Source organism: Homo sapiens, chromosome 6, assembly GCF_000001405.40.
Source record: "Homo sapiens chromosome 6, GRCh38.p14 Primary Assembly".
Classification (NCBI taxonomy): domain Eukaryota; kingdom Metazoa; phylum Chordata; class Mammalia; order Primates; family Hominidae; genus Homo; species Homo sapiens.
This window is the reverse complement of record NC_000006.12, coordinates 105,155,903-105,180,106: the sequence shown is the minus strand read 5'-3', so window position 1 is coordinate 105,180,106 and position 24,204 is coordinate 105,155,903. Positions and strand designations below refer to the sequence as shown.

Below are 24,204 nucleotides of genomic sequence, written 5' to 3'. Positions count from 1 at the left end.
GCCGAACCGCCTGCCCCGGCCCAGACGCAGCCGCCGCGCCCGCCCACCCGGCTGCGCCCCGGGGCGCGCGCCCGTGCCCGGCACCCGCCCGCGCCGCCGCGCCGCTCCGGAGCCCGCTGCGGTCACGCTGCGCCCGGCGCCGCAGGGTGGGCGGCGAGGCACTCACGAGGGGGACGCTGAGGGCTTCCGCGCGGGCCACCCGGGTCAAGCGCGCTCCGCCGGGAAACTTCTGCGGGCGCCGGGCTGAAGCTCCGGGCAGGGCTGGGAAGGAAAGGTAAGAAGGTGAGCCCGGGGGCGCTGCGTCCGCCGCCTTCCGGTGCTGTCCGCACCCTCGCACCTCGCGGCCGCTTCGGGCAACTTAGCGGGCGCGGCTTCTGCTGGGCCGCCGACCCCTGCGAGCGCTTGCGTCTCGCTGCCCCGCGCTGCCCGCGCCGCTCCCTTCCCGGCTCCGGTCAACTCCGCGCCCTGGGGTCCGGGGTCTGGGGTCCCGGCTGTGTCGCCGCTCACAGCTCGGAGGTCTAGGGGATCCTTTGCTGCGGTTCCTATCCGCGCCGACCCCTGAAGAACGCGAGTCGTATGCCCTAGAGGCTTCTGGGCGAATATTCCTCCCAGATCTTTTCCTGCAGGTCCTACTCTGGCCCCAGGCACCCTGGAGCCGAAATAAACAGGCCAGTTTTGCAAGGGAGAAAAGCCGTTCCTAGGGGCCCTTGTCAGTCCTGGGGAAGTCATGCCAGCGCCGGGAGTTTCCTTCCCCCCTACTCCCGCCCCCGGTCTGTAAGCAAAGGGCCTGACTGGTGTCAGTGCTCTCACACTGTTCTCACAGAGTTGGGGGTACAAAAAAGCTGCCTCATCAAAGGTCGCGCGGACCTGTTTTCTCCATTTGGGGATCCCCCTGCCAAAAAAGAAATTTGCCAACCCCTAAATTGTCTTATCACCATGTCGGTTACAGTGGTATAGTTTTGAGGGTCTGTATTTTAGGCAAAGATGAAAGGCACAACCAAAATACAGTAAGAGGGGCAGTGCCAAAAATTTAGCCAGAAGACATTTGCAGAAAGTGAAAAATTCTGTTTGTAAATAATAAATGGAAAAGTAGAATTAGAAGCCCACTTTTGGACGCAATTTGATTTACTAAACTTCGTTGCTTCCTGACTTTTCACTCTAATTCCGGTAGTTAGATATTTTGAATTTGCAAGCCTACAAACTGCAATTGAGTTTTATAGCAGCCTTAAAAAATTATTGTTGCCTGTTCATACTAAGTTTAGTGGCTATTTTTTTTCCTTCTTGTTTTTAATTCTACGGACTGTTGCATGAAAATATCCTCTTGTGAGAGTACAATAACTTGGCATTGTTCTTTGTGACAATAGAAAACCAAACAAGAACTACATGAGACAGAAAATATAAACAAAAAATTGGATCTCAGTTTCCATATTCGCAAAATGAAGAGCTCTGGCTGATCCCAGATTCCAGATATCTCTGAGGTTCTGTCCTGAAAAATCTGTGTGTGTGTGTGTGTGTGTGTGTGTGTGTGTGTGTGTGTGTGTGTCTTCAGGAGTTTGGGATACAAATATTAATTGAAATCTAAGATATTCTCTGTCCTCAAAATTTTATACATTTAAATGGGAAATATTTGATAGTTGAGTTTCTTTAATCATATCAGTCCCTCAAAATAGCTGAATCATGGTGCATCTTCTGCCTCTAAATGGTTACATTCTATGCTATTAAATAAAAATGTGTCATGGGAAACAAAAGTCCCATACTTTTCACCACAAGACTGACTAATACGGTTGACACACTAGAGCACTGATGCCTGCTTATTTTGAAACAGTCTCCAGGAAGAATTAAGAATGTTATGAAGCATTTGCTACAGTATGTGAGCATAACACATAAGCAACATGGCAGGCAAGAAATTTCAAAACTGCTTTGGAAATATCCATGATAGATCTGAAAGTCTGTAAACTGCAGTTGAGATCACATTTTGTAATTATGGTCATTGGTCAGTTGGGATTATGAGCTCCCTCGAGAGAATGTCCCTCCAATTAATAGAAGAGTATATCGAATCACCGATTCGATTGTTTTAAAGGAAGAGAGAAAATGTTTCTCCCTTTTATCTAAGTAGTTATAAGAAAAAGTCTTACAAGGAAAATTACATCAGGTGTTTTCTAAATTAAATAAATAACCGAAAGTTCCTGACTGAAATTACCTATAAAAATGCAGGGTCCTCCTCCAACCCAGAGAATCCAGGGATTGATTCACACAGACTTTTAGCGAGACTTTCTTACTTTGTGTTCTTCAACAGAATAATAACCTCCAGTGACTCTGGCACACTGAAATTGGCTAGGATGGGATCATGAAGGAAGGTGTTGTGGGGTAGTATTGGAAGGACAAGCAACTGGCTAAGCTTACAGAAGAATCTCCATCCCTCTGAGCTTCATCTTCCACTCTGAACAATGCTGACAATAGTATGTAGGTTTCAGAGTTGCTGTGACTCCTAAATGGATCTGTTTTAGGAATTAGTACCTGCACAGAGAAAGAGCACAGCTGATCTTGGTTCTTCCTGTCTTCTTTGGAAGGTGTTTGTTTCCTAGCTGAACAAATTGCAGCTGAACTGTAGATAACAGCTTTTGCTTTTAATTTCAAAATTCTGTGTGGCAAAATCTTGATAATTGTTGAATCTGGGTAACAGGTATATGGGAATTTGTTGTATACTATTTTCTCTATTTTTGTATGTGTTCAAAATTATCAGAAAAAAATTTAAGTGTGAATCTGAAAAAAAAACCCCACACTTTGAGTTATTTCTAGTCCAGGATTTCATTTTACATTGTCTGTTTCATTTTACATTGTATTTTTTAATTAGTGAATATTTAAATATAGAGAAATATAAATTATGTACTATATAGGGAGTGGATGGGCAGCGACTGGTCCTGGAGAACAATCCATGGCAGTCTTCAATTTTTTGTGTGGAATATTTTTTATTATGAAACAATCTAAAGAAAATATGACAGTGTTGATGGTTGTTAATTCTGGTTGTTGGGTTCATGGATTTTTTTAAATGTTTATATTTAAAATTTTTTTACATTGGTATAAAATCACCATATTGTTTCCCAAAATCATTATAAGAATACAAATAATGCAGCTGTTTTTAAAAAGGTAAAAATAGTTTCTATCCCACTATCAAGATATATTCATCTTTAACATGAAGTGAAAATCATTGCGTATGTCTTTCTATTTTTACACAAATAGGATATGTTGGTCGGGCTTGGTGGCTCACGCCTGTAATCCCAGCACTTTGGGAGGCTGAGGCGGGCGGATCACCTGAGGTCAGGAGTTTGAGACCAGCCTGGCCAACGTGGTGAAACCCCGTGTCTCTACTAAAAATACAAAAATTAGCCAGGCGTGGTTGCGTGCGCCTGCAGTCCCAGCTACTTGGGAGGCTGAGGCAGGAGAATTGTTTGGACCTGGGAGGCGGAGCTTGCAGTGAGCTGAGATCGCGCCACCGCACTCCAGCCTGGGTGACAGAGCAAGACTCTGTCTTAAAAAAAAAACGATATGTCAAAAGATTAAAAAGAAATGCTTTTATAAAAAATAGAATTGTTAAATAAGCAGGAGGCCATTAGCCTGAGTCTTTCTCCCTACTTTGAGTCCCTGTGTGAAAAACTAACTTTGTACATAAACGAACAGAAAACTAACTCAACAGTGTATTTTTTGTAATAGCCAGGTTTCAGCCAATCACAGGCGGCCAGCTCATCACATTATGCCCAAATAAAGCAGATGCAGAGCTGTAGCCAATCGAGTGATTTTGGTTTTTTACTTCTGTCATCAGTGTATAAAAACTGCAGCTCATGCTGCTGGATAGAGCTCTGTGAACCTCTTCTGGTTGTGAGTGCTGCCTGATTCGTGAGTTGTTTGTTGCTCAGGTAAACTGTTAAATTGAATTTATCTAAAGTTTTTCTTTTAACAGGATGATACTATATATGCTTTTTAAAATAAAAAAATTATATTTTAACAGAAGAAACTGTAGTGAAAGTGAAGGAATTGCTGAACTTGACATCAGTATTTCTTCATTCTTAGAGATAAACAAGTCTTCCAAACTAAGAGAAAAGTTTCTGAATACATCTTGAGATCAAGATTTTTTAAACATACATTAATTTAGACAGTCAGAGGCTCCCTGTTATAAAGGATGGAGCACTGGGCACTCTTACATTACCTATAGTTTCACTTCTACTCATATCCCAGTTTTTATTCTTTCTTTCTTTATTTATTTTTTGAGACAGAGTCTCACTCTGTCACCCCAGGCTGGAGTGCAGTGGTGCGATCTTAGCTCACTGCAACCTCCGCCTCCTGGATTCAAGCAATATCCCTGCCTCAGCCTCCCAAGTAGCTGGGATTACAGGCATGCACCACCATGCCCGGCTAATTTTTGTATTTTCAGTAGAGATGGGCTTTTACCATGTTGCCCAAGCTAGTGTCAAACTCCTGACCTCAGGTGATCCTCCCACCTCTCCTCCCAAAGTGCTGGGATTACAGGCATGAGCCACTGCGCCTGGCCTATTTTTTATTTTTTTAATTTTGGAGACAGGGTCGCATTGTGTCACCCAGGCTGGACTGTAGTGGCATGATCACAGCTCACGGCAACCTCAGCCTCCCAGGCTCAAGCAGTCCTCCCACCTCAGCCTCCCATGTAGCTGGGACTACAGGCATGCACCATGGCACCCAGCTTTTTTTTTTTTTTTTGGAGAGTTAGGGTCTCACTGTGTTACCCAGGCTGATCTCAAACTCCTAGGCTCAAGGCATCCTCCCACCTCAGCCTCCCAAAGTGCTGGGATGACAGGCATGAGCCACTATACCCAGCCCCAATTTTAAAAATATGTTTATATTGTGAGGATCTATAACATTTGCATTGTGTTTTGTAAACTTCATTTCAGATACAATTTTTTTTTTTTGAGATGGAGTCTTGCTCTGTTGCCCATGCTAGAGTGCAGTGGAGCATTGTTGGCTTACTGCAACCTCAGCCTCCCGGGTTCAAGTGATTCTCCTGCCTCAGCCTCCTGAGTAGCTGGGATTACAGGCGTGTGCCACCACGCCCGGCTCATTTTTGTATTTTTAGTAGAGATGGGGTTTCACCATGTTGCTCAGGCCAGTCTCGAATTCCTGACCTCGTGATCCACCAGCCTCAGCCTCCCAAAGTGCTGGGATTACAGGTGTGAGACACCACGCCTGGCCATTTCAGATATAATTTAGTCTTAGTTTTATAACTAAATGAAATCACGATGAATCACTGGTTCTTTTACCATGGCATCTCAAGTATCAACTTTTGATTCATCCTTTGATTGGCTAGATTTTGTCAGTGTGTCTGTTTGTTTCCAAGAAGGGCTCATTTCCTGTGTCTTTTTATGTTTGAAATGCCCATGTTTCTTTCCAGACAGTCCCTGACTCACAATGGTTTGACTTAACCATTTTTCAACTTTATAATGGTGCAGAGACAATACACAGTCAGTATGCTCAACTTTCGGTGTGGTTACACCCAAGTAAACACATCATCGTCATAAATTGAGAAACTGTAAGTCAAACGTGTGTTTTCAACTTACGATATTTTCAGCTTACCATGAGTTCATTGTACATTGGGGAGCATCTGTACTTGAATGACCATTTGGCTGGCTGTACCATTTTTGAGCCAGTTTCCTTACCTCCGGATTATATAGCCTTCGCTCCATTCACTGCTAGCATCTAATGTAGCTGTAGAGAAGTCTAAGTTTGGTTTCAAAATTTCTGGCTGGGCGCAGTGGCTCACGCCTGTAATTCTAGCACTTTGGAAGGTCAAGGCGGGCGGATCACTTGAAGTCAGGAGTTCAAGACCAGCCTGGCCAACATTGTAAAACCCCATCTCTACTAAAAATACAAAAAATTAGCCGGGTGTGGTAGCGCCTTTAATCCCAGTTACTTTCGAGGGTGAGGCAGGATAATCGCTTGAACCCGGGAGGCGGAGGTTGCAGTGAGCCAAGATTGTGCCATTGCACTCCAGCCTGGGCAACAAGAGCAAAACTCCATCTAAGAAAAAATTTCTTCCTTGCAATTGATTTGCTTTTTCTGCCCGGAGTCCTAAAGTATCCTTTATATTCCTGAAGTGTAGTAATTCAGGCTATATCCTTGTTAAGTTCTGTATCAATTTTTCATGGAACCTGGTGCATTCCTTCTATTTCTGTTCTTTCTATTGGAATAATCTGTTGTTCTTAATTTCAGGGTTTTTTTTTTTCCCATTATGAATGCTTTTTCTTTCCAATTTTGTAATTCTCTACTTCAAAGACACCAATTATTCTCACACTGTCTCATCTTTATTCTCCATAATGATTGTTATCTTGTTTTAATTTCTCCTGTTTTCTTCATTCACTGTACTTGTCAAAATGATTAAAATGTAACTGATTTATAAATGAAAGTGTAGCATGGTATAAACAGAAGCAGGTTAGATATGAGGATATTTGGATTCTAACTCGGCCAAGTCTTTCTTAAAGAGGTTTTCTTGCTTGAAAAATAGGAAAATAACTACCCCTTCCTCCTGCCCCCAGTATTTTTGGAGCTATGAAATAATATACATGTAGTAGTTCACACAGGTTCTGACACAGGGTTGCTACTCAACAGATGCTGGTTATTATTACTTACTCCTCCATTCAAGATGCAGGAGGGGTGGTGTTAGAATTCAAGTTCCAAACACATGTTACATTATAATTGTTCTGGAAGTCACAATGCATGAAGGAGAGCTAGTACCTTTTCCTCTATGTTATAAAGAAAATTTAACCTCCATGAGAAAAAGAGATAAACAGAAGCACTTTAAAACATTCTGTTTGGAATTTATTTTGTGGAATCTCAGCTTATTTTCTGTTGTTTGAGTTCATTTTCAAGTTTATATTAAATCTTGGTAATGCATGGAAACCCACCAACTAGTGGAGCATCCTTGATCAATACTTGGTCAGATATGAAAGGAAATTTAAGATAATGATTCTAATCTCATTAAGACTTTAGACTGTTTTAAAATGTAGCATTTCTTTAAAATTTAGTATGCAACAACTGACTTTTTTATTATACTTTAAGTTTTAGGGTACATGTGCACAACGTGCAGGTTTTTTACATATGTATACATGTGCCATGTTGGTGTGCTGCACCCATTGACTCGTCATTTAGCACTACGTATATCTCCTAATGCTATCCCTCCCCCCTCCCCCCACCCCACAACAGGCCCCAGTGTGTGATGTTCCCCTTCCCGTGTCCACGTGTTCTCATTGTTCAATTCCCACCTATGAGTGAGAACATGCGGTGTTTGGTTTTTTGTCCTTGCAATAGTTTGCTGAGAATGATGGTTTCCAGCTTCATCCATGTCCCTACAAAGGACATGAACTCATCCTTTTTTATGGCTGCATAGTATTCCATGGTGTATATGTGCTACATTTTCTTAATCCAGTCTCTCATTGTTGGACATTTGGGTTGGTTCCAAGTCTTTGCTATTGTGAATAGTGACGCAATAAACATATGTGTGCATGTGTCTTTATAGCAGCATGATTTATAATCCTTTGGGTATATACCCAGTAATGGGATGGCTAGGTCAAATGGTATTTCTAGTTCTAGATCCCTGAGGAATCGCCACACTGACTTCCACAATGGTTGAACTAGTTTACAGTCCCACCAACAGTGTAAAAGTGTTCCTATTTCTTCACATCCTCTCCACTGGACCTGTTGTTTCCTGACTTTTTAATGATTGCCATTCTAACTGGTGTGAGATGGTATCTCATTGTGGTTTTGATTTGCATTTATGTGATGGCCAGTGATGATGAGCATTTTTTCATGTGTTTTTTGGCTGCATAAATGTCTTCTTTTGAGAAGTGTCTGTTCATCTCCTTCGCCCACTTGTTGATGAGGTTGTTTGTTTTTTTCTTGTAAATTTGTTTTGAGTTCATTGTAGATTCTGGGTATTAGCCCTTTGTCAGATGAGTAGATTGCAAAAATTTTCTCCCATTTTGTAGGTTGCCTGTTCACTCTGATGGTAGTTTGTTTTGCTGTGCAGAAGTTCTTTAGTTTAATTAGATCCCATTTGTCAATTTTGGCTTTGCAACAACTGACTTTAAATGAGTTTTAATGGCTGGGCACAGTGGCTCACGCCTGTAATCCCAGCACTTTGGGAGGCCAAGATGGGAGGATTACTTGAGTCTGGGAGTTTAAGACCAGGCTGGGAAACACAAGGAGACTCCATCTCTAATATAATAAAATAAACGAAATAAGTGTTAGGTAGTTTATTTGTAGATAAGGTGTATTTTTAGTTAGTAATATTTAAAATAGATCACAGTTTTGAAAACTGGACTTAAATAGTGTTAACATTGGAATTTCACTAAAATGCAGGCTCCATGAGGACAGGTTTTTAATTAATAATAATAATTATTATTATTATTATTTGAGACAGAGTCTTTCTCTGTCGCTCAGGCTGGAGTGCAGTGGCGTGATCACAGCTCTCTGCAACCTTGACCTCCTGGGCTCAAGTGGTTCTCCTGCCTCAGCCTCCTGGGTAGCTGGGAATACAGGTGCATGCCACCATGCCCAACAAATTCTTTTAATTTTTTTGTAGAGCTGGGGTCTCACTTTGTTGCTCAGGCTGGTCTTAAACTCCTGTGATCAAGCAATCCTCCCACCTCGGCCTCCCAAAGTGCTGGGATTATAGGCATGAGCCACTGTACCTGGCCCTGAATTATTGCATATATTAATTCACAATATTTTTAAGGCCATTTGAGAGCTAATGATACAGTTAATTATGTTATAATGCATGTTTTGAAAGTAAGCATTATTCCAAAAAATTGACGTATTAGGGAACGATTTGGGCATAATACAACTTTCATGTTTGCTTACGCATGTTTTACCCAGAAAAAACAATGGGTGAATTCATTAAATTGCAACTAGCTGACCTAAGCCATGTAGGGATACACAAAATGCAAAATGCAAAATGCAAACACATACCTCTCAAACATCTACCAGCTATCTTGGTTTGCCATGTATTATTTTGAAAATTTACAGTTTGCTATCCTTTCACACTTGTGAACTTTCCTATATAAAAACATGCTCATTCTAGGATTTAAGGGCTGAGAAAGAGCACAGTTTTTATTCCTTCTTCCACCGCTTCACCATAACTCACAAATGGCAACCATTCCCATTCCACCTCCCTAGCAAGTTTTTGGCCTTTTTTTAATATCAAGTGCCATATTTGTGTATTTTTAACCATTTAAGATAGATAGATGTAACTGTGCTATTGTTTTTATTAAATTCCTATCTTTTAAAGAATGTGCCACTGATGAAGATTTTAAGTGTTATATCACTAACCCCATTTTCTTGTGAGCCCTGTGGTTGTTATTGCACAGTTTAGTATAGTGCAGTGACTGTTTAGGATCACATATGTTGTTGTGTTACAGTGGAATTGACTCTAGTTGATTAAAGTGGCGTAGAAGTGCTATTAAGTGTCATGTTGTTGAGACAATAAGCGTGATATCTACATCTGGCATTCTCTCTACTAAAAGAGTCCTAATGTGACTCCCCTGACCCAAATGTGTGGTCCACCTGGTTATTTAGCCAGAAAAAAAGAAAAGGCAGAGATTATGGCCAATTAACTATCATACATGATCTTGTTAGGGTTGTTTGCCAGGAAGTAACTTGAAAACTTGATCTAAACATAGGAAAAGTGAGTTCATTTTCTGCATATAGGTCACTTAGAGTAAAGGAAAGCAAAGGTGTCCCATTGATTCATATAAAGAAACGACTGCTTAATGTATCTAGTTTCTCTTGCATCTTTCATCAGGAATCTCTCTTCAGTAAACTTACTGCATGATGTCATAGCAGCTCATCAAAAGGGAATGGCTTCCTGCTTATGCCTTTAACCATTTCCAGGATATGGAGAAATCAGAAGAACTTGAGCAGAGCCTGTCAATTATTTAAAACCATCTAATGGCAAGCTTGAGAAGTAGAGACTTTACTGCTGCTTCTTAAAATTAAGGATTTTCACAACTATAGGGCTGAGTGACTCAACTGGTAGGACCTACCCTCCTATCCCTCTGTGCCTCAAAAAACTGTAGCTTCTTAAGAAGACATTTAAATTATTTAATCTAAACTGAAGAAAGAAAATAAGAATGTTGTTGATTTGTTTTGTTCCAGTAAGTCCAGATATTTATTGAAATTGTACATGTAGCAGGATATTTCGGTGGTAAAGAGAGCAGACACTGGCATCTGCCTGCCTGGGAGTGAATCTGGGCTATATCTTCGTGTTTCCCTAGGCAACCAACTTAACTTTCCTAATACCTCAATTTTCTTATCTTTAAAAACTGGACAATAAAACTATCTGCTCAGTAAATGCTAGATGCTAGTAGTAGCATATGAGGATCAAGAAGATGACAGCTGGATATTGCCTTCCCAATGCTGAAGTCATCTGGCCTTGGTGGCGTCACACAATTTGAAGAAATAGAGTTAATTCTTTTGAGTTTCTCTGGGCTGTATTTTGAGGGTCAATCTCTGAATATATGTAAAACATTAAGTATTTGCCCTATCTTTATGGCTCAATGTTACAAAGAACTGACTGATTTGAAGGTCAACCATGAAAACATGGTATTCTAGGAATTTTGGAGATTGGTATATCAATGTCATAACTATTCTGGAAGTTGCCCATGTGTTCAAATGCTTAACAGTATGGTGACTACCTGACTATGAAAGGAAAACCTCTTCAGTGACACTGGGAACCACAGTGAATTTAATGTAATTCCCAGGGTCTCTCATAGGGTCTTGTTTTCCAGGTTCTATCAAGGAATGATTCTCAGCTGATTTTCCTGATTTAAATCTAGCAAGGATTGAGTGTCTTCAGCTTCACAGATCTATATTCTAATTCTATTATAAAATATAGATTATTAATGAAAAGCCTCATATACAGTGAGCACTTATAACTGTTTATGTGTGTGTTTAGTTTTCTGTTGCTGTATAAAAAATGACTACAAACTTAGCATCTTAAAACAATAAATATTTGTTATCAGTTTTTGTGGATCAGGAGTCCAGGCACTGTTGAACTGGATCTTCTGCTCAGGACCTCCCAAGCCTGCAGTCAAGGTGTCAGACACACTGAGCTTCTTATTTGGAGTTTGGGGTCCTCTTCCAAGCTTCTCAGATGGTTCACAGAATACTGTTCCTTGAGGTTATAGGACTAAAGTCCCAGTTATCTTCTTTAAGCTCATAGAGGCTGCCTGCCGTTCCTTTCCTTGGAAACCCCACAGGCAGTTCACATATGGATGTTTGCCTTCTTCCAGTAGGAGCACATCAATCACTCTGACATCCAATCTCTCTCCAGTCCTATGATGGAGTCCTGTATAACTTAACATAATCATAAGAGTGACTATTCCACCACCATTTGCCATATAATGTTACCTAATCAAGGGAGCATCTATCCCATTCCATTCACAGGTTCTGCCCACACTGAAGGAGAGGGAATGATACAGGGCATGTATACCAGGAGGTCAGGAATGTTGAGAGCATCTTAGAATTCTGCCTACCACTGTATGTGATAAAATGAGAGATCAATCATGGGTAGAGATAAATGTGATGTTAGCTGAAACATGAGAACAGAAAAAAGTCCGGTGTAGCCTGTCGGCATGTTCTCTGATTTCTTCAAGTCTCAAGGAGACTCCAAGATCTCATTGATAAGGGGGATCAAAAGCATGCTCCAGCCTAAGAGATTAGTGGTACATGAAGAGTCTCCAAGTATTGTGTGAAAGCAAAGGCTGGTGTGAATATACTCTGGAATCCATATCAGAAGATGAAATGAGAAAATTAAACCATGTAATATAATTGTTTGGGAAAGGGGAACTGTCCTCAGGCAAAAGGAAAAAGGTGATACTTCCCTTGGTAGGATAAAGGAGCCAAGTGCTGTAGTGGGGTTGGCCACCCCTGTAGGCAGAAACCAGATGGTGACATCTATGCTTTGGGTAACATCTGACTGATGGCAGCATATGAATGTTGTAACCAATACCATTTACATTTCCATCAACACTCTGTTCTGAATCTTGGATAATTCTTCCACATTTATACACTTATGCATTATACATATGCAATGTTTGCATAGCATCATGCCAAGTCTTTTCATTTCTTCTCTCTGTTACTTGAGAGACTCTAGACCAGCACTGTCCAATAGAAATATAATGCAAGCCACATAAACAACATTTTTTTAAAGTAAGAACCAGTGAAGGCAGCTTTAATAATAGGTTTTACTTAACCCACTATTTCTAAAACACTGTCATTTCAATATGTAATCAATATAAACATTAATGACATATTCTTTACTTTTTTTTTTTTTTTTTTGAGGCTGAGTCTCGCTCTGTTGCCCAGGCTGGAGTACAGGGGCATGATCTCAGCTTATTGCAGCCTCTGCCTCCCAGGTTCAAGCAATTCTCCTGCCTCAGCCTCCCGAGTAGCTGGGATTATAGGCACCCACCATCACATCTGGCTAATTTTTGTATTTTTAGTAGAGACGGGGTCTCACCATGTTGGCCAGGCTGGTCTTGAACTCCTGGCCTCAAGTGATCCATCCTCCTCAGCCTCCCAAAGTGGTGGGATTACAGGCGTGAGCCACCATGCCCAGCCTATTCTTTACTTTTGTACAGTCTTCACAATCTATTGTGAACACTTTCATTTCTCCCTATGCTCTTTTTCAATAATCTTAACAACCCTAGTTTTTATTTAGCATTGACCTGTGTGATAGTAACTGCTAAATCTCTCTCCCTTTATCCTACCCCTTATCCTCTGCTGTAAATTCTGCTACTCAGAGCATCAGATTAAACATGGCTAAAACTGAGTTCCTTTTTCCTCTGACTTTTTCCCTAACTTCAAGATCTTGTATAACCCCAAAATGTCTTCAACCCTTCTTCGTTCCTCTGTTTCAATAGATCCTTTCACCTCTTCCTCATAGTCTAATACATGCTTCCCTTTTTTTTTTAATTCAACATCTAAACTGTTGATTCAGGAGCTTTCTGATTTATTAAGCCTTATCCCAAGCTTATTTCAAACACTGTTTTTCTACCTGTGCACTCTTGTCTTTATTAGTGAATGTTTACTAAAGACCACTTTGTGCTAGACAGAGGAAAATTTCAAATATATTTATATAAATATATATATACACACACACAATGCTCTATCAATAAAGCTGTTATTCTACACACACACACACACACACACACACAACCATCTATGTTCATTTTTTTAAATGCTTGAATATGTAACCCAACTGAAAAAATTAAAAAATTGTGATGCTTTAAAAAGGAAAAATATACATAATGGTCAGTATGACACAATCTATGATGGAGGCTATGTAGACAGATAATAAAGGCCATTAAAAACTCAGCTTACAAGGTGCACTTCAGGCCACCATGGTCAGGGAAGGCTGCTGCAAAATTTCCACAAGCTTCATCCCTCTTGGACTGATGAGTGTACGGAAGGAAAACGTCTTTTCACCGAGGTAAAGGATGGAAGTGAGAACACATGAAGAGGAAATGTACCTTTCTGGCTCTTTAAAAACAAGGATTAAAATCCAGATCCTTTATTCTGTGGAATGTTCTGGTGTCTCTTTTCCCTCCCCCACCCCCACCTGTCACCTCCTTCCTATCTCTTAGATTTGTTCGACACTTCTTAACCCTGGTTGAACATCAAAATCCCTGGGAAGTTTGTGAAAAAAATTCAGTGCCCCGGCGACAAAACAGGCCAGTTAAGTAACAGTCTCTGGAGCTGGGCCCCAGTCAAACACCTGGTGTTAAGACCTGCAGTCTTAATTCAGTTCTGCCACTCGGCTCTATATTTTGACCCATGTTTGGAATCATCTTCTACTCCACATCATACAGAGTCATGTCATTTTAGAGCTCTTATGATGTTGTCCAATTCTTTCATTTTACCAATGAGGAAACCAGTCTAAGGAGATGAAAATCACATAGCTATCTAGGGATACAGCTAAGACTAGAACCCTTCTCTTGGGTGGAATCTTAGTTCCATTATAAGCAATGTGACATTGAACAACTTAGTTTTTTGCTGAATTTAAATTTTCTTATGTGTAAAATGGAGATAATAGTACTTTCCTCCTGGGGTTGTTAAATGAGATAATTTTAAAAATATGCCTGGCACATAGTTGCTGGGTAAATGTACCACCTCAAGGACAAGTCAAAAAAACTAAGAAAATGATAATTTAGCTTAGGGAACACATGCCAAAGTTGAGAGCTGATCCCAATTAATGAGTAGAATATTGATGGAATTTTCAGTTTGTGGGTTGCTTAGCAACCAAAACTCACTCAATACCACTGACTACCCAAGTTGTTGTTTTTAATCAAAGCAATAAACTGTTCTTAAGGAGTTCAAGGTTGTGAACAGACAAAAGGATTCCCTTATGCATTTGGGGTTGTGCCAGGCATTTTGAAAAAGTGATGCCCCAGCTCCTCTGTGTTTTTGCACTTAAACATCTTGGACATTTGGAGCCCCCCAATTCTGTGCCCATAGATGACAGAAGATGTTACAATATCTGTTACATTGGATAGAGAGTGAGAAGGGAGAAGGCAGAGTGCTTGCACTTCTGTACCAATGTATTAAGCCAAACTTATTGAGTGCTAAGGCTCAGAAATACAAAAGCATTTGTCTTTGCCCCTGCTGCCCCTGAGAATTTCAGTCTAGGAGAGGAAACCAGTCAATATTGAATAATACAGCAAATTATTCATGAGCGGCTCTCTGTGTCTCCAGCAGTATTCTAAGAGTTACAGACTGAACAGTACAAGAACTTATAGGGTAAGTCTGAAATATCCATGGTTAGGATTTTTATTTTCTTGGCAAAGCAGCCCTGGAAGAATATCCCACTTGGGTTCCCCAAAACATTAATATTTGATTCACAGTCTTGAGAGCTGGCACTGAATGTTGGAGAGGGTCTAAAGAGGGGCGGACGGGAATTGGAGCTCCATGCCACCACCTGTTTTACCTGAAGCCAGAGACTCAACCAATCTGTGCCCTTCTTTTCTCATTTGTAAGCTGGACATGATGATTTAGATTCTGCCTCCCTCGTGGCAATGAGATAATAAATGCAGAAGTTCTGTTGCAATAAATGCAGTTTCTAGCTAATTTGCCAGCAGGTTTACTTTGCATTTCATTGAGCATCCTTGTATCTTCATTTACATTTCCTATTCCTTTATAACTCGTAATCTTAACAATTTAAAGAGAAAAAAACCCAGATGAGCTTGGAACAACTGTGTTTATTTGCACTTAAGTTTGTCTTCATCATTTGTAGCTCAGTGTGCTAACTTACTTTGCAGTGAAGATCAACTCTAGTGCTTAGGAAAGAAATCCATTGTGCCACTTTGGCATGTCAGCATTTATTTACGCAAAACATGACCTCAGGCTTACAGGCCTTTAAGGCAGACAGCTGGTTGATGAATCATGTTGGACATTCATATAGTGCTGCTGGCACATGTCAGAAGGACACTCCTGCTCATCACCTGCCCCTGTCAGTTCTTCCACTTCTAATAAAGCATATCTGTTTTGGTGACCAAATAAAAACACAAGTGAAGAAGGGCTGGGTGTGGAGTAATTTAATCAGGGCAAGTCAGCACGCTGCATTGAGCAGTACAGTATCAAGGATAAAAAGATGGTTTGGTAACAGCTGAATGAAACGAAGTAGATTAGTAAAGATGGAAGCACAGTTCCCCTTATAATCATAATGGGTCATGACCCTGGAATGCAGAAGCCCCAATATATCCTACAAATCAAGATTTTTAAGGAGACAGGATTCCCAGAAGTTCCCTTCTGAATTGCCACGAACGTTTTACATGGCCTTTCTCTATTAGCATCATTTTAACATTTCGCTGAGGATTATAAATTTTTAAGGAAGTTCAAACCAAAGTTCAGAGCTCCACTAGCAAATCTTTTTAAACTGGCTTTCGTGGGTGTGTTTGGTATCCTGAAGAATTGATTGATTTAAAATACCCTAGTTTTGAAACAGCAGGGAGACTGACATTTGCAGCCTGGTATTTTGCAGTTCTCACTACTCATTGTATTTGAACAATAATTTTTCTTTGTTGTAATACCCAGTAGAATAAAATTTTGTGCTTTGTTTAAAAGAGGAGAAATTGAACATGTTCAGGATGCTGGCCTGTCTTCAATTTCATCACCATCATCTCGTAGATTGATTGATGGGGAGAATAATTAGGGATATGCAGCATGTTTGAAATGTATTTGAAAACAAGCAAAAACAACAATATGACTATAAGTTGTAAGTCTAAGCTTTTTTTTTCTTTTTTTTTAAATGATTCACCTGGCAGTGTTCTTGAAGTCATTACTTACTGAGAAAAGAATCACTATCCAAGATGAAAAATCAGGAACTTCAACAACAGCTCCTTTATTTCCATTTCTACTTCTGTTGGTGATTACACTGTTCCATTTTTTACTCCAGCTAAGTCATTTTCACCTCTGTATTTTTTCTCCTATGGGGCAAGATCTGTGATATCTGATAGTTTATTAACAGGTGTGCTGGAAATAATCTATTTCAAAAATAAAACACTAAATATAGCACACAAGTTCAAGGCTTTTGAATGTTACCATGGTTTTAAAAAATCAATGTCATGAATGCTTTACACTGAAATCATTTATTGTTAGGAAACTGGGTGGCAAATGATACATATATCCTGTAGCTCTGTCATCATGGCTAATGCTCTCCTGACTCAGATTACATATTAGCATTTCCACCATATGGCTGAAAGGGTAGAGAATGTATGTGCAGAGGAACAGAGTTGGTAATATTTTTGACCATCTGATAAATAAATATGTAAGTAACAGGAATATTAATATTTATTTCATCATATGATGCAAGCTTTAACCTGAAATAACCACTAATACAACAAAGTAGTACATTTGTTTCTCAAATAATTTCAATCTAATTTATTAAATATTTCCATAGTCAATTAATGCTCTTAGAATGTGACTTCTAATTATGTTTCTTATGTTTATTGATATAGTAGGGTTCCTTATCATGCCAAATTTAAAAATCTTTCCTGAGAGGCCACACGATTGGACCCAGCATATGGGCATGAGCGCCAAAGTTCTGCTCTGCCAGTGACCACTGTGTGGCCTGGGATAAATTACCTGACCTCTCTAAGCCTCAAATTAATGTGTAAAGAGTGAATAATCTATTATCAGACAGTATCCCTCAAAGGGTGGGCCATGGAGGACCATGGATTAACACATCAGAATCACATGGGGAGCTTAAAATACAAACATCTGGGCCCCACCCGCAATGATTCTGGTTCATGTATCTGGAAGCAGTCCATGAATCTGCAAATATATATATGTATTAATACAGAGTCTTACTCTTTTCGCCTAGGCTGAAGTGCAGTGGTAAGATGATCTCGGCTCACTGAAGCCTGTCTCCCAAGTTCAAGTGATTCTTGTGCCTCAGCATCCTGAGTAGCTGGGATCCCAGGCGCACGCCACCACGCCTGGGTAATTTTTCTATTTTTAGTAGAGACAGGGTTTCGCCATGTTGGCCAGGCTGGTCTCGAACTTCTGGCCTCAAGTGATCCACCCACCTCAGCCTCCCAAAGGGCTGGGATTCCAGGCACACGCCACCTCGCCCGGCCCGCATTTTTAGTCACTGTCCCGAGTGATTGTGAGGTACACTGAATCACTCCCATAGAGACGAGATTAATATAGAGCACTTAGCTACCTTGAAAAATATGTAGCTAATTTTAATAAATATACTTTTTATACCATAGAAATTTAACACCCAACAGCATTTGTGCTTAAAATACTCTAACTTCATAGAAAATGGGAGGTCAGCTTGCTAAGTAATGCTGCTGATCATTAAATATACCCCACAATTCTCCTTTTTGTTTAATTAGATCCTTTATCTTTTTTTCTCTTGCATAGGAAATACCAAAATATTTGCAGACTGGATCCAAATCAGGAGCCCAGATGAACTTAAAGAAGCGAGCATGGGATTCTTAGTTTTTCAAGATCCGTACACACGAAGCCTTTAATCAGCATCAACTCCAGTGTCCGTTTTCTCTGGTTTTGTGAAGACTGCACAAAACTCTCATGATGGAGAACCAAAGGACTTAGTTACCTGTTTCAGTGTCATCTAAAGTCAACTGAAAAGTGAAGCAGGCAGTAATACAGCCATGGAAAGAAATTCAAGTTTATGGAAGAACCTAATAGATGAACACCCAGTCTGCACAACCTGGAAGCAAGAGGCCGAAGGAGCCATTTATCATCTTGCCAGTATTTTATTTGTAGTAGGTTTCATGGGTGGCAGTGGATTCTTCGGGCTCCTTTATGTCTTCAGTTTGCTGGGGTTGGGTTTTCTCTGTTCTGCTGTCTGGGCTTGGGTAGATGTCTGTGCAGCTGACATATTTTCCTGGAATTTTGTACTGTTTGTCATCTGCTTCATGCAATTTGTTCATATTGCATATCAAGTTCGCAGCATAACCTTTGCCCGAGAATTCCAAGTGTTGTACAGCTCCCTTTTCCAGCCCCTGGGGATCTCTTTGCCTGTCTTCAGAACGATTGCTTTGAGCTCTGAAGTGGTTACTTTGGAAAAGGAACACTGTTATGCCATGCAGGGGAAAACTTCCATTGATAAACTCTCCTTGCTTGTTTCAGGAAGGTTTGTACCTTTGGTGCTTGCATGTCTTTCCTCAAGTATTAGTTGTTTGTGTTTCTTTCCACTATATTTTTCCATCTCAGTATCACATAGTCCTGGGTGGCATTTAGCACCCTGAGGCTTGAGGAAGTCTTTGATACTTGAGTCACAGACATAGCCATTTAGAATATATGGCATTATTTACTTGAAGCAGAAAATAATCAAGAGCCTTAATATTTCATCTTAGAAATCAAATTACATAAAGTATGAATTTGTTTATGTGATATGATATTTGTTTCCTAATTACTGAAAGTCGAGAAGAGGATGATGTCAGCTTGAATTAATAGAATACTTATATTGGCGTGCAAAATATTTTAAAGACTCTTTGATAGGGCTTTCTTTTAAGTAACAGAAAACATTTAAATTTTATTATTATCTTTTTTTCTTCAGTAAATTCTAGCAATTGCCCATGAGAAGCAGGCTGGGGAGACACTTCAGGAACATATATAGAAATCTAAACTTTGAAAACAGGCCAGGTGCGGTGGCTAACACCTGTAATCCCAAAAACACCTGTAATCCCAGCACTTTTGGAGGCTGAGGCAGGATAATCACCTGAGGTCAGCAGTTCAAGACCAGCCTGGCCAACACTGTGAAACTCCCATCTGTACTGAAAAAATAGAAAAACAAAATTATCCAGGCATGGTGGCACATGCCAGTAGTCCCAGCTACTCGGGAGGCTGAGGCAGGAGAACTGCTTGAGCGTGGGAGGCGGAGGTTGCAGTGAGCTGAGATCGCGCCACTACACTTCAGCCTAAGCAACAGAACGAGACTCTATCTCAAAAATAAAATAAAATAAACTTTGAAAACAAAGTTTGGGAGAGGAAACAATAATGGGATTACTCATGGTTTTCAAAAAGTTAAAAATGTGGCTTACAGGCCAGGCGCGGTGGCTCACGCCTGTAATCCCAGCACTTTGGGAGGCCGAGGCTAGTGGGTCACTTGAGGTCAGGAGTTCGAGACCAGCCTGGCCAACATGTTGAAACCCTGTCTCTACTAAAAATACAAAAAACTTAGCTGGACATCGTAGTGCACGCTTGTAATCCCAGCTACTCAGGAGGCTGAGGCACAAGAATCGCTTGAACCTGGGAGGAGGAGGTTGCAGGGAGCCCAGATTGTGCCACTGCACTCCACGCTGGGCGACAGAGTGAGACTCTGTCAAAAAATAAATAAAAAATAAAAATTTGGTTTACAGAGGTATTTGCAGAACTCCTCTATGTTCTTAAATGTTTCCCTACTTAATTTAAAATCTGACAAAGTCCATTAAAATGTTTTATTGAAGTATAATATGCACACATAAATGGACATATATAAATGTACAACTTGATGAATTTTCTGATGAATTTCACTCAATATTCCAGAATCCTGACTGTATAAGGAACATGATAACATGAATCTTACAGGACATTATGTCACTTATTATAATGTATGAATTTAATATTTTGCCTTTCAAAATCATAAAGGGCAAGAGTCATCAGGGATCTGAAATACACTTCCTCTACCCCCCACCCCTCCCCAATTATGTGCTCTCTTTCTCCTTCCCTTATAAATGTTGTTCTTGTGTTTTGATAGGATCAGAGTGACAGTTGATGGCGAATTTCTGCATTACATTTTCCCCCTTCAGTTCCTGGATTCTCCTGAGTGGGATTCACTGAGACCCACAGAGGAAGGCATTTTTCAGGTAAGGGATACCAGAACACACAGTTAGCACTCCCTCTTTCAAACAGATGTTTGTTTAAAAATAAGTAAACAAATAAACAACAGTGGATAAGACAAGAATATTTTAAGACTTTGGAATGTACTTTGCAGCATACATGACTTTCCCAATTCTGCTGGACTCTTGATGATTAATGCCACTTTATAGGTCCAGCGATGAGAAGAACAGGTGCTACATATGACAGGAAGGAGGCTGTGATCAATACTTTAAGCTTTACTTTGCATAACTGCGTATTTAGGAATTAAAATATAATTGAGATTTGACTAAACACTGCTAATGCGACGTCTAGAAAACATCAAGAACAAAAAACTGCACTTACTAAAAAATAAATGATTTTTAAAATTTAAAATGCCAGTGGATTTCAGTTGTTTTACAGCAACAGAATGCTAAACTTACTGTCATTACTCTGCTGCCACGTCTGGCAGTTTTGAAAGATAATCATTTCAGCAGGTTTCATTTATTTTGTTACACAGTTTTCTAACAAATATATGTGTGTATGCAACAAACTCAAATATGTATGCAAATTAGGTATATAAATTCTGTTTTCTACTGCAGAAACTGCATTAGGGTTAAATGTCCACAGTCTTCAGAAGTGACTTGGAAATATTTCTGTAACATCAGCCAACTTTTTTTTTTTTTAAGATCAAGTAGTTCTCCCTTCAATAAAAGAAATGTAGATACTGGAACTTAGAAAAACAGACAGATTGAAGATGGCTAGAACATTGTGATTATTCATATTATAAATTACGTATGTAGTAACGAATTTTGTAGTTTCTATTTTTGCAATATATTGTAGGTCAGTGGGCTTTTTCAACCTAAAAAAAAGGCAGCACGTGAAATTAATTTAACAATTGGGGTACTAAAAATGTGGCAGAAGTTTTCTTGCTTCCACATCTGTTTATGTGTGGTCTTGTGTTTTTTAGGTAACCCTCACTGCAGAAACTGATTGTCGATATGTGTCTTGGAGGAGAAAGAAATTATATCTGCTCTTTGCTCAGCATCGCTACATCTCCCGCCTTTTTTCAGTGCTAATTGGCAGTGACATTGCAGATAAACTCTATGCCTTGAATGACAGGGTATATATAGGAAAAAGATATCACTATGATATTCGGCTACCCAACTTCTATCAAATGTCAACTCCAGAAATACGCAGATCACCCCTGACACAACATTTTCAGAATTCCAGACGATACTGTGATAAATGACATCAAAGTCTGAAATTTATAAGTATAAAAAAAGACTCTCTCTTCATCATTCCCCAGTGAAATAGCAAAATACAAAAAAAGAGCTCCCTAATGTTTTTATAAATCAAATTCAGAAGCGAGATGCCATTGCCAACTGTTTTATTCCTTTCAACAACTGCATTGTGAATAAACTTTACAAATTTTTCTTGTATTTCTCATTGTTATAATTGGGGAGGGGGTGGATAACTATGGGCAGTTTGCCCTTTTCTGCATCAAAACTGGGAGAATGAAATTCCACTTTCTCAATTCTTTTCTCACATTTACTCAAATGCATTGTCTTGCCCTATAGACTCAGGAGTTGCTTCTCAAGAAAGAGCCAGCAAGTATTCTCAGCCTGAGGGTGGGTTGCTACTGTCCACATAGGCATTTCCGGAATTCACTTTTTTGCTACAACCTCCAGTGAAAGCAATTATTTATTTTAAATGTGCAGTTACTTGATGCGACTAAAAAGTAGAATAAATGCAAGAGATAATAATATGTGAATCTTGAAGCCTATTTTATTGCTACAAATAAAATAACATTTAAAAAGAAGCATTTCCTGGAAAACAAAGCTGCCTGATCATTACTAAGTCAAAAGAGTACTCCTGAACCAATAGTAAAAATGTTGCACGGTGTTTCAGTTTCACGTGTTCAGCAGAAAGAGCTTTCAGTGGTGTGAATGGGCAGCGAGGGTTCACAGGGAATGCTCAGCCCACCGCACAAACACAAGGGTCTGCCTCACAGCGAGTGCTTCAGCTTTGTGAAGAGCTTAAGAAAGAACCCTAGTTGGAGATCTGATCCCTTCCTTTGGAAAACTGGTTTTCTGAAGATCACATGCAGACTATGTTCTTTGATACAGAGATACATTATCAAATATTTAACAAGTGTGTATTGAGCACCTTCTATGGCTGACATGGGCATGGGGATACATCAGGTAACAGATGGAGATCCCACCCCTCATAAAGCTTACATTCTGGGGATGCGGGAGACATAATAAAGTAAATCAGTAAATGTTTAGAAGGTGATAGTACCAAGGGGAGTGATAAATTAGAGAAGGTGGGTAAGAAAGGGCATTGCAATTTTAATAGGGTGGTCAAGGAAAGTATCCACAAAAAGGAATGTCTGAATGAAGACCTGAAAGAGGCAATGGAAGAATCCATGCAGATATCTGAGGGAAGAGCAATTTGGGCAAAGGGGACAGCAACTGAGCAGGCCCTTAGGCATGAACATGACTGGCCTGTTCCAGGAGCAGCTGGAAGGCTAGTTTGGCTGGCACAGAATGAACAGAAAGTAACCGTGGGCAGACTGGGTAAGGCCTAAATAAGTCATGGTAAGGACTTTGATTTTTTTCTAAGAGTGACCAGAAGCCATTGTAGGGTCTGAAGTAGAAGAGTGATATGATCTGCCCCATGGTTTAATAGGATCACTCTGGCTAGCCTGCTGAGAATAGACTAGGGGGAAGAGAGAAAAGAGTGGACTTGGAAAGTAAAATGAGGATTAAGAGTGAGATGCCTGCTAGACGCTGAAGTAGAGTAGACAGCTGGAGATATGAGCCTGGAGTTTCAAAGAAAAGTCTGCGCTGTAGAGACAGCTTTGGGAGTATTTAGCATATACATGGTATTTAAAGCCATGAGTCTCCATGAGATGGCCAAAAGAGTGAGTGTAGATTCAGAAGAAAAATGGTCTGAGGCTTACCTTGGAGCACTCCATTGTTAAGGGGACAAAGCGATGGGGGAAGAATCAGCAAAGGATCTGAGGAAGAGCAGCCAATGAGGTAGAAAGAAAATCAGGAGAGCCTGGGATCCTGGAAGCCAAGCAAAGAGAATTTCTGGGAGAAGGGAGTGATGAACTGTCTCAGATGTGGCTGAGAGGCCTGAGAATGAACCATCGGGTTAAGCAACATGGAAGTCACTGGGGAACTTAACAAGAGCAGTTTTGGTGGAGTGAGCAGGAACAAAAACTCGACTGAAGCAGGTTGAAGGAGAATGAGAGGCAAGAAGTTGGAACAGTAAGGGTAGGTAAGTTTTTCAAGGAGTTTTGATGTGAACTGAAATAGAAATGATCAGTAGCCTGGGCAGAAAGTGGGGTCAAGAGAGGGGGTTGTTATTGATTTTCAGATAAGATGGTGCATTTGCATGCAGATGGAAATAATCCATAAGTGAGGAGTGAACTGCGGGAGTGATGACCTTGAGCAGGTGATGGGATCCAGTGGCCTTAAAGAGAAATATGGACAATTCTTCATGAATGAAAAGAGAAGAGTATCTGTGAGAGTAGTTGCTGGCAAGTGGGAGATGTGGTGAGAGATTGTGAAAGTTCTCCAGTGATTTTCATTTTCTCGGTGACCTAGGAAGCAAAGTCAGCAAGGAGAACGGGAGAGGAAGTACTGGGGTTATGTAAAGGACGTTGCTTTTCCTGTATGTTAGCATCTACCATAAGTGGGACAATGTGACAAGATGTAAATCATTAGTCTGGATGAACTACTGAGCTATTCAAGTTTAGCATGAACTAAAGGAATCACTGGAATGGTTTCTTCTATTTCTTGGCCACAC

The 24,204-nt window shown here is 40.2% G+C and overlaps 1 protein-coding gene and 1 long non-coding RNA gene across 6 annotated transcripts in view; one reads left to right on the top strand and one right to left on the bottom strand.

Annotated features, from left to right (window-relative positions):
• The first annotated feature begins 92 nt into the window (after positions 1–92).
• Positions 93–22,207, top strand: POPDC3 (popeye domain cAMP effector 3). 5 transcript variants are annotated; one of them, XM_047419251.1, is made up of 6 exons: positions 3,852–3,914; positions 5,420–5,557; positions 16,344–16,444; positions 17,947–18,682; positions 20,288–20,396; positions 21,356–22,207. In XM_047419251.1, the coding sequence occupies exons 4-6, from the start codon at positions 18,198–18,200 to the stop codon at positions 21,635–21,637; spliced, it is 876 nt and encodes a 291-aa protein (XP_047275207.1). In that variant the 5' UTR covers positions 3,852–3,914; positions 5,420–5,557; positions 16,344–16,444; positions 17,947–18,197; the 3' UTR covers positions 21,638–22,207. The 5 variants fall into 5 exon arrangements, 4 of the variants coding, with proteins under 4 accessions (NP_071756.2, XP_047275207.1, XP_047275208.1 ...); XM_047419252.1 differs by lacking the exon at positions 5,420–5,557; NM_022361.5 differs by lacking the exons at positions 3,852–3,914; positions 5,420–5,557; positions 16,344–16,444 and adding an exon at positions 93–274.
• Positions 10,162–24,204, bottom strand: part of POPDC1-AS1 (POPDC1 antisense RNA 1) — a 32,259-nt gene continuing 18,216 nt past the window's right edge. Inside the window, exons 3-4 of the long non-coding RNA NR_037157.1 lie at positions 13,405–13,563; positions 10,162–11,376 (exon numbers count right to left, since the gene is read on the bottom strand). This is a non-coding gene — a long non-coding RNA (POPDC1 antisense RNA 1). The remainder of the gene's footprint in view (positions 11,377–13,404; positions 13,564–24,204) is intronic.